Source organism: Homo sapiens, chromosome 19, assembly GCF_000001405.40.
Source record: "Homo sapiens chromosome 19, GRCh38.p14 Primary Assembly".
Classification (NCBI taxonomy): domain Eukaryota; kingdom Metazoa; phylum Chordata; class Mammalia; order Primates; family Hominidae; genus Homo; species Homo sapiens.
In genome coordinates this window covers 36,302,553-36,312,675 of record NC_000019.10, presented here as the reverse complement: position 1 = coordinate 36,312,675, position 10,123 = coordinate 36,302,553, and the positions used below count along the sequence as shown (strand labels likewise).

At 60.9% G+C, this 10,123-nt stretch overlaps 1 long non-coding RNA gene across 5 annotated transcripts in view, besides 2 other annotated features; it reads right to left on the bottom strand.

Annotated features, from left to right (window-relative positions):
* The window catches only part of CYKILR (cyclin dependent kinase inhibitor 2A regulated lncRNA), a gene marked incomplete at its 3' end in the record, with an annotated part of 52,208 nt that overhangs the window by 8,616 nt on the left and 33,469 nt on the right, over positions 1 to 10,123 (bottom strand). Inside the window, exons 1-3 of one of the 5 annotated variants that reach the window (NR_199167.1) lie at positions 2,818 to 3,066; positions 884 to 1,053; positions 41 to 154 (exon numbers count right to left, since the gene is read on the bottom strand). This is a non-coding gene — a long non-coding RNA (cyclin dependent kinase inhibitor 2A regulated lncRNA). Of the gene's footprint in view, positions 1 to 13; positions 155 to 883; positions 1,054 to 2,817; positions 3,067 to 10,123 lie in introns of those variants that run through there. The other 4 variants (NR_029389.2, NR_199170.1, NR_199166.1 and 1 more) reach the window with 4 other exon arrangements.
* Positions 6,154 to 6,767: an enhancer, noted in NCBI's record as "H3K27ac-H3K4me1 hESC enhancer chr19:36796811-36797424 (GRCh37/hg19 assembly coordinates)". NCBI's record gives its function as "activates a minimal SCP1, AML or CMV promoter by ChIP-STARR-seq in naive H9 embryonic stem cells {active_cell/tissue: H9 hESC(naive)}" and the evidence as "EXISTENCE:reporter gene assay evidence [ECO:0000049][PMID:30033119]".
* Positions 9,334 to 9,943: an enhancer, noted in NCBI's record as "H3K27ac-H3K4me1 hESC enhancer chr19:36793635-36794244 (GRCh37/hg19 assembly coordinates)". NCBI's record gives its function as "activates a minimal SCP1, AML or CMV promoter by ChIP-STARR-seq in naive H9 embryonic stem cells {active_cell/tissue: H9 hESC(naive)}" and the evidence as "EXISTENCE:reporter gene assay evidence [ECO:0000049][PMID:30033119]".

Sequence of the window (10,123 nt, the reverse complement as noted above, 5' to 3'; positions counted from 1 at the left end):
AAAAACATTAAAATAGATAAACATATTTTTAATGGAATACCTTTAAAAATGCAAATCAATGCACAAAGAAAACGCCCATGTTGAACAAAATGGTGACAATTGTGCCTTCTCTTCAACACCACCCCACCCTCCAGAAGTTTCCTTCAAGCCGTACCTGTAAGAGTAAAAATAGAGAAAAATAAAAACCTTTAAGTTAAAAGATAAAAATGAGCTGGGTGTGGGGGCTCATGCCTGTAATCCCAGCACTTTGGGAGGCCGAGGCAGGTGGATCACTTGAGGTCAGGAGTTCGAGACCAGGCTGGGCAATGTGGTGAAACATCGTCTCTACTAAAAATACAAAAAAACAAAAAAAATTTAGGTGGGCACAGTGGCAGGTGCCTATAATCTCAGCTACTTGGGAGGCTGAGGCAGGAGAATCGCTTGAACCTGGGAGGCGGAGGTTGCAATGAGCCAAGAGCATGCCATTGCACTACATCCTGGGAGACAGATCAAGACTCTGTCTCAAAAAAAACAAAACAAACAAACACCTCGGGAATTTCTGGCTCAAGCCTCTGATCCTCACCACCACTATCACCAGGGGATCTTTTGCTGTTCACCCAAGTCCAGCCTTCATCCCCTAAACTCCTGGGGAAATGCGACCAGACTCTCCCCATCTCCATTCCGGGAGTTTGCCTCAAGCCAATCTTGTTCTCCCTGAAAACGGCCTTGGGGTTCCCCATCCTGGTACACCCTCCTACTCTAGGGGACACAGGGCCGATGTTGCCCCCCAAACCGGCAGTCCCAGGAGCGCATCGCTTCTCCCTGAACTGCTTCTGCCCCAACCTGGCATCTGCTTGGGGAAGGGCACCCCAGGGTGGAGACTTGCATGGTGAGCTCAGCTCACCTTCAGGTGAAGGTCAGCGCACACTGGCCACCCGGGACCACATTTTCCAGAATCCTTTGGCGGTCCCGCGATGCTCTCGTGGTCAGCAGCTCTCATTGGGTTGCAGAGGAGAAACTTGTCCGTGTCACTGGGGCATCTTAACAGTCGGCTCCTAAGCTTGGTTGTGTGCGCTGTGCAGATGTGAGAGGCACACCGTGTGGGCGAAGCCAACTGCTTGCCCGCCTCTCTAGCTCCAAAACTACAATCCCCAGAGGCCTCTGCGGTCACTTCCACTACCCACCCTACACACCTTCTGTGTGTCGCGTTAATGTCAGAAGCACTTCTGTTTGGTGGCCCCGGCGGGTTAGGCTGGTTGGCACCCAGGGAAGCACCCAGGTCTTCCCCACACCTCTGCACCTCATTACCTGACCGGCTTCTGGATCCGCAGCGTGCATCTGCAGTCTGTGAGTCCCCTATAGGCACTCAGTATGCCCCTCTGCGTGTCCCTCTGTTACTCATGGGGACGCAGTCTGGGAGCCGTAGACCTGTCTCAGAACTAGGGCGCCCTCCTGTGGGCACCTCCAGGCCATTTTCCTTTCACTGGAGCCCACCGGGTTAGAGACAGACCCTCACTCTGTTGCTTGGGGACAAAGGCTTCACTCCCTGGCCCGAGCTTGGGGCTGAGCTAGAGGGTTCGGGGTCATCCTGGGCCCCTCTGGATGGGAATTGGCTGCCCTGTTAATTTCTGTGACATCCCCGACCCTAACAGTGGGTCTCTGGAGCAGACTGCGCTTCACCCCATGGGAAGGGGGTTTCCACCTGAGAGTCAAAAAAGAGGTGAGAATTCTCTGTAATTCCATCTTGACTGTCAACAGGATGGATTCTGTTACCATTTCTTGCCCTGGAGGCTGCCTTGTTGGTACTGGGGAAAGTTCATTCCTAGTCCTGGAAAAGTGGCTCATTCCAACTGGAGTCCTCCCTCAGCATTCCTTTCTGCTGCATCCATACTGCAGTCATTCATGTTGTTAATTGTAAACAAACACACATGGAACAGTTTAAATAAAACTACACAGATGTGTGTGCTTAATTGTTCAGTGATGTGGATAAAGGGCAGGGACAGCAGAGATGCCTGTGATTTCAAGGGCTTGGGGAGGACTCGTACAAGTAGAGCTGTCTCAGCTGCCCCTGACCGGTTTGGTACCTTGGAGACTCGGGGGAAGGCATTGCACTCGGAGGCAGAAGGAAACATAGTCTGAGGCTGGGCTCTTGCTACAGGGTAGGAAGGATTATGGTGGCCAAGAGCCTTCGTAAGGTTGATTTTTAAATATGCATAGGTGAAGATACAGACTAGCTGTTCACACATAGAATAAGGAGAAGCTTTATAGAGTGTGACCTAAATTTTACATCACAGAACACTTTCACCTTCCGGCAGTTGGGACATTTCACCCATAATTTGAAATTCCCTCCTACTCTGAAAATGAATCTGGCCTAACTCTGCACTGATAATTTTTTTTTTTTTTTTGAGACAGAGTTTTGTGCTTGTTACCCAGGCTAGAGTGCAGTGGTGCAATCTACACTCACTGCAACCTCGGCCACACTGGTTCAACCGATTCTCCTGCCTCAGCCTCCCAAATAGCTGGGATTTACAGGCATATGCCACCACACCGCGCTAACTGTCTGGTACTTTTTTTTAGTAGACGCGGAGTTTCATCATGTTGGTTAGGCTGGTGTGATCCCCTGACCTCAAGTGATCCATCCGCCTCAGCCTCCCAAACTGCTGGGATTAAAGATGTGAGACACCTCACTTTGCCAGTATGCATTGTTCTTAGTGTCAGCCGCTGAAACTGCTACTTCTGCTTTACGCGACTACGAGCCACCGGTGAGAGAGCAGCCCACGGGCACACAGGCGGACCTGTGCTCGTCATCACAAGGGCTCCACTTTTGGGGAGACTCACCCGCACACCGTCCGCGCACGCCAGAGGCTGGGATCCCGCGCTGCCTCGCCGGCGATCTGTCTGAGGTTTCTTCCTCCTGGGGTTTCTTCCTGCTGCTGGACCCTCCGCGAATCCCGGCCTCCGGAGACCGTCCTGGTAACTGCCCTGGCCAGGACTGGTCTCAGCCCAGACTCAGACGCACGATCACACAGGGCTCCTACTTCCCCAAGTGTCAGGGACCCATCCCCGGGCAACGGTGGCTTTCACTGTGACCCAAGCGGCGGCTCGGGCCTCGCGCCTGCGCGCTGGCGAGGCCGACTCCCCCCGCTCCACCCCCCCTTACTCCGCAGAGTCAGGCTGCGGACCCTTTAAAAAATGGCGGCGACGCGGCGGCTGCGGGGCCTGGGGCGGCGGTGCTGGAGGTTGCGGCGGCGGCGGCGGCGGCGCAGCCCGAGGCGACGGGTGGGAAGAGGACTGCCAGAGGGGCCTGCGGGAGACCCAGGGTCGGACCCATAGGAGTCCTGTGGTGAGGACCTCCTTGATCGCTCTTCTGCTTCCGTTCCCGCTGAAGGAGGAGCTTCGGGGTGCCGGCTGGGCTGCGCGGACTCCTCTTGGGGTCCGACGATGGATCCCAGCGGGTGATCGGGAATGGGGTTCCAATGCAGTGAGGCGGAAAGGGTCTCGCCGGGGCACAGGAAGATCCCCAGGGCCGCAAGGCGTGCTGTCGGCTGCAAAGGCACCGACCCATGAGCCCACTGCCTCCCTCCTTCCTGGCAGGAGCAGGGGCCTGCCTTCATCTCCAAGGCCCGAGGGCTCCGGCATCCCGACGCGGCTTCCGGCGACACGGGCAAAGAGAGACAGAGGCGAGTCCGAGCTGGAGCCAGCGTGTCCACATGTGGCACTGTCGTCCCCCAAGAGCACATGCAGGCAGCGTGTGTCTTTGAGGCCGTAGGGGGCGACGACGAGACGGACAGTGATGTCCAGGCGTGCGCCCGGGGGGCCACTGGAGACCTGCCCCACAAAGCGGAGGAAAAGCCAAGCGCACCTGAAAACCTGCGAGACAGGGCCTGTGCGCGAGTCCACGCCACGTTCAGGGAGGCCCGCCAGAGGAGCCGAGAGGTTTGGACAAAGTACACCCCACCCCCAGCCCGCCGCCGGCTAGGTACCCCTGACGCAACCTCCCCTGCACCCGGCCAAAACCCAGTCCCGTTGGCTCCCTGACATCCGTGGCAGCCAAAAGATTCGGTGCTAGAAGGCACTTTCCCCAGGAGCGGAGGAAGCGGTTGGCCCTCAAGAATCAGAGAGGAAGTGCAGGTGGGATGCAACACCGCCTTTCCTAGAAGGCCAATGTCAGGAGCGGTGGGCTTGCCTCCGCCTCTTCCTGGACCGAGCGTGCAGCCATCACTTGGGCCATGGAGACCGAGAGAGCTTCCCTGTCCCACACAGGTATGGAAGCCCAGAGCTCCAGGATCACCACAGCTGCCCAATCATCCAGAAAGAGGTGTGGAGAGGGAAACAATCATGACGCGGACCGCCACGAGGTTTCTCCCTGATGGACGGGGAAGTCTTCTTTGTGGAAGACACTGAGCCACACTAAGAAGCCGCCAGGCTTCTCAGAGGCGGGGCAGACACAGCAAGAGGGAGGTCAGAGCAGAGGCCAGAGCCCAGGCAGGATACGGGGGGGCCATGCCACCACCACCGGCATCCGGGGAGGAGTGTCAAACGGGTGACTCGGCCAGGAAGGCCAGCCTTTGAGAGACAGACATGCTTGCCCCATCCCCTTGCCGGCTTCCTTCTCCGTCCCTGCGTCGAGCTGTGGCTACATTTCTCGATGAGGGCAGAGGGCGACAGGCGTGACAACCACCTTCTTGAAGCTCTGCGGGCACCCTCCTGCGGGTGGACGATGAGCGCCTGGGAGGCCGTTGTCCTTGGTTGGGGAGCGCTCGTCTGGATCCAGCCTAGCAAAGAGGCTGCTCCGGATGGGGAGGGGATGAAAACCCCTGCGGGTCCGACGCCGATGCCCACGTTGCCCAGGCCTTCACAGACCCCCAAACTGGAACCGCCGGGACGACGACTGCCAACCGGCCACACGACCCAGGCAGAGACGCGGGGAGAGGCTGACCAGAAGAAAGGCCGACGTGCAAGAAACCCACCCTCCGGCGCACAGGGCACATGTGTCCCGAGGCGCACGCACACACAGACGGACAGAGACAGAAAGAGAGGGCCACGGAAAGAGCGAGAAGGGAGACAGAGAGAGAGAGAGAGAGAGAGAGAGAGAGAGAGACGTGAGAGAGAGACAGAAGTCGGCACACAGACAGGCACTGCGCGCGCACACACACAGACACACACACAGACGCACCCCCCCAACACACACACACACACACCCATGACGAACACACACGTACAGCAGGGAACACCCTCCCGCAGGCAGCCCCTGAAGCTGCCGGGTTCTGCTCTCCGCGACTGAGAGCCACCGGTGAGAGAGCAGCCCACGGGCACGCAGGCGGACCTGTGCTCGTCATCACAAGGGCTCCACTTTTGGGGAGACTCACCCGCACACCGTCCGCGCACGCCTGAGGCTGGGATCCCGCGCTGCCTCGCCGGCGATCTGTCTGAGGTTTCTTCCTCCTGGGGTTTCTTCCTGCTGCTGGACCCTCCGCGAATCCCGGCCTCCGGAGACCGTCCTGGTAACTGCCCTGGCCAGGACTGGTCTCAGCCCAGACTCAGACGTACGATCACACAGGGCTCCTACTTCCCCAAGTGTCAGGGACCCATCCCCGGGCAACGGTGGCTTTCACTGTGACCCAAGCGGCGGCTCGGGCCTCGCGCATGCGCGCTGGCGAGGCCGACTCCCCCGCTCCACCCCCCCTTACTCCGCAGAGTCAGGCTGCGGACCCTTTAAAAAATGGCGGCGACGCGGCGGCTGCGGGGCCTGGGGCGGCGGTGCTGGAGGTTGCGGCGGCGGCGGCGAAGGCGCAGCCCGAGGCGGCGGGTGGGAAGAGGACTGCCAGAGGGGCCTGCGGGAGACCCATGGTCGGACCCATGAGTCCTGTGGTGAGGACCTCCTTGATCGCTCTTCTGCTTCGGTTCCCACTGAAGGAGGAGCTTCGGGGTGCCGGCTGGGCTGCGCGGACTCCTCTTGGGGTCCGATGATGGATCCCAGCGGGTGATCGGGAATGGGGTTCCAATGCAGTGAGGCGGAAAGGGTCTCGCCGGGGCACAGGAAGATCCCCAGGGCCGCAAGGCGTGCTGTCGGCTGCAAAGGCACCGACCCATGAGCCCACTGCCTCCCTCCTTCCTGGCAGGAGCAGGGGCCTGCCTTCATCTCCAAGGCCCGAGGGCTCCGGCAACCCGAGGCGGCTTCCGGCGACACGGGCAAAGAGAGACAGAGGCGAGTCCGAGCTGGAGCCAGTGTGTCCACATGTGGCACTGTCGTCCCCCAAGAGCACATGCAGGCAGCGTGTGTCTTTGAGGCCGTAGGGGGCGACGACGAGACGGACAGTGATGTCCAGGCGTGCGCCCGGGGGGCCACTGGAGACCTGCCCCACAAAGCGGAGGAAAAGCCAAGCGCACCTGAAAACCTGCGAGACAGGGCCTGTGCGCGAGTCCACGCCACGTTCAGGGAGGCCCGCCAGAGGAGCCGAGAGGTTTGGACAAAGTACACCCCACCCCCAGCCCGCCGCCGGCTAGGTACCCCTGACGCAACCTCCCCTGCACCCAGCCAAAACCCAGTCCCGTTGGCTCCCTGACATCCGTGGCAGCCAAAAGATTCGGTGCTAGAAGGCACTTTCCCCAGGAGCGGAGGAAGCGGTTGGCCCTCAAGAATCAGAGAGGAAGTGCAGGTGGGATGCAACACCGCCTTTCCTAGAAGGCCAATGTCAGGAGCGGTGGGCTTGCCTCCGCCTCTTCCTGGACCGAGCGTGCAGCCATCACTTGGGCCATGGAGACCGAGAGAGCTTCCCTGTCCCACACAGGTATGGAAGCCCAGAGCTCCAGGATCACCACAGCTGCCCAATCATCCAGAAAGAGGTGTGGAGAGGGAAACAATCATGACGCGGACCGCCACGAGGTTTCTCCCTGATGGACGGGGAAGTCTTCTTTGTGGAAGACACTGAGCCACACTAAGAAGCCGCCAGGCTTCTCAGAGACGGGGCAGACACAGCAAGAGGGAGGTCAGAGCAGAGGCCAGAGCCCAGGCAGGATACGGGGGGGCCATGCCACCACCACCGGCATCCGGGGAGGAGTGTCAAACGGGTGACTCGGCCAGGAAGGCCAGCCTTTGAGAGACAGACATGCTTGCCCCATCCCCTTGCCGGCTTCCTTCTCCGTCCCTGCGTCGAGCTGTGGCTACATTTCTCGATGAGGGCAGAGGGCGACAGGCGTGACAACCACCTTCTTGAAGCTCTGCGGGCACCCTCCTGCGGGTGGACGATGAGCGCCTGGGAGGCCGTTGTCCTTGGTTGGGGAGCGCTCGTCTGGATCCAGCCTAGCAAAGAGGCTGCTCCGGATGGGGAGGGGATGAAAACCCCTGCGGGTCCGACGCCGATGCCCACGTTGCCCAGGCCTTCACAGACCCCCAAACTGGAACCGCCGGGACGACGACTGCCAACCGGCCACACGACCCAGGCAGAGACGCGGGGAGAGGCTGACCAGAAGAAAGGCCGACGTGCAAGAAACCCACCCTCCGGCGCACAGGGCACATGTGTCCCGAGGCGCACGCACACACAGACGGACAGAGACAGAAAGAGAGGGCCACGGAAAGAGCGAGAAGGGAGACAGAGAGAGAGAGAGAGAGAGAGAGAGAGAGAGACGTGAGAGAGAGACAGAAGTCGGCACACAGACAGGCACTGCGCGCGCACACACACAGACGCACCCCCCCCAACACACACACACACACACCCATGACGAACACACACGTACAGCAGGGAACACCCTCCCGCAGGCAGCCCCTGAAGCTGCCGGGTTCTGCTCTCCGCGACTGAGAGCCACCGGTGAGAGAGCAGCCCACGGGCACGCAGGCGGACCTGTGCTCGTCATCACAAGGGCTCCACTTTTGGGGAGACTCACCCGCACACCGTCCGCGCACGCCTGAGGCTGGGATCCCGCGCTGCCTCGCCGGCGATCTGTCTGAGGTTTCTTCCTCCTGGGGTTTCTTCCTGCTGCTGGACCCTCCGCGAATCCCGGCCTCCGGAGACCGTCCTGGTAACTGCCCTGGCCAGGACTGGTCTCAGCCCAGACTCAGACGCACGATCACACAGGGCTCCTACTTCCCCAAGTGTCAGGGACCCATCCCCGGGCAACGGTGGCTTTCACTGTGACCCAAGCGGCGGCTCGGGCCTCGCGCATGCGCGCTGGCGAGGCCGACTCCCCCGCTCCACCCCCCCTTACTCCGCAGAGTCAGGCTGCGGACCCTTTAAAAAATGGCGGCGACGCGGCGGCTGCGGGGCCTGGGGCGGCGGTGCTGGAGGTTGCGGCGGCGGCGGCGAAGGCGCAGCCCGAGGCGGCGGGTGGGGAGAGGACTGCCAGAGGGGCCTGCGGGAGACCCATGGTCGGACCCATGAGTCCTGTGGTGAGGACCTCCTTGATCGCTCTTCTGCTTCGGTTCCCACTGAAGGAGGAGCTTCGGGGTGCCGGCTGGGCTGCGCGGACTCCTCTTGGGGTCCGATGATGGATCCCAGCGGGTGATCGGGAATGGGGTTCCAATGCAGTGAGGCGGAAAGGGTCTCGCCGGGGCACAGGAAGATCCCCAGGGCCGCAAGGCGTGCTGTCGGCTGCAAAGGCACCGACCCATGAGCCCACTGCCTCCCTCCTTCCTGGCAGGAGCAGGGGCCTGCCTTCATCTCCAAGGCCCGAGGGCTCCGGCAACCCGAGGCGGCTTCCGGCGACACGGGCAAAGAGAGACAGAGGCGAGTCCGAGCTGGAGCCAGTGTGTCCACATGTGGCACTGTCGTCCCCCAAGAGCACATGCAGGCAGCGTGTGTCTTTGAGGCCGTAGGGGGCGACGACGAGACGGACAGTGATGTCCAGGCGTGCGCCCGGGGGGCCACTGGAGACCTGCCCCACAAAGCGGAGGAAAAGCCAAGCGCACCTGAAAACCTGCGAGACAGGGCCTGTGCGCGAGTCCACGCCACGTTCAGGGAGGCCCGCCAGAGGAGCCGAGAGGTTTGGACAAAGTACACCCCACCCCCAGCCCGCCGCCGGCTAGGTACCCCTGACGCAACCTCCCCTGCACCCAGCCAAAACCCAGTCCCGTTGGCTCCCTGACATCCGTGGCAGCCAAAAGATTCGGTGCTAGAAGGCACTTTCCCCAGGAGCGGAGGAAGCGGTTGGCCCTCAAGAATCAGAGAGGAAGTGCAGGTGGGATGCAACACCGCCTTTCCTAGAAGGCCAATGTCAGGAGCGGTGGGCTTGCCTCCGCCTCTTCCTGGACCGAGCGTGCAGCCATCACTTGGGCCATGGAGACCGAGAGAGCTTCCCTGTCCCACACAGGTATGGAAGCCCAGAGCTCCAGGATCACCACAGCTGCCCAATCATCCAGAAAGAGGTGTGGAGAGGGAAACAATCATGACGCGGACCGCCACGAGGTTTCTCCCTGATGGACAGGGAAGTCTTCTTTGTGGAAGACACTGAGCCACACTAAGAAGCCGCCAGGCTTCTCAGAGACGGGGCAGACACAGCAAGAGGGAGGTCAGAGCAGAGGCCAGAGCCCAGGCAGGATACGGGGGGGCCATGCCACCACCACCGGCATCCGGGGAGGAGTGTCAAACGGGTGACTCGGCCAGGAAGGCCAGCCTTTGAGAGACAGACATGCTTGCCCCATCCCCTTGCCGGCTTCCTTCTCCGTCCCTGCGTCGAGCTGTGGCTACATTTCTCGATGAGGGCAGAGGGCGACAGGCGTGACAACCACCTTCTTGAAGCTCTGCGGGCACCCTCCTGCGGGTGGACGATGAGCGCCTGGGAGGCCGTTGTCCTTGGTTGGGGAGCGCTCGTCTGGATCCAGCCTAGCAAAGAGGCTGCTCCGGATGGGGAGGGGATGAAAACCCCTGCGGGTCCGACGCCGATGCCCACGTTGCCCAGGCCTTCACAGACCCCCAAACTGGAACCGCCGGGACGACGACTGCCAACCGGCCACACGACCCAGGCAGAGACGCGGGGAGAGGCTGACCAGAAGAAAGGCCGACGTGCAAGAAACCCACCCTCCGGCGCACAGGGCACATGTGTCCCGAGGCGCACGCACACACAGACGGACAGAGACAGAAAGAGAGGGCCACGGAAAGAGCGAGAAGGGAGACAGAGAGAGAGAGAGAGAGAGAGAGAGAGAGAGAGA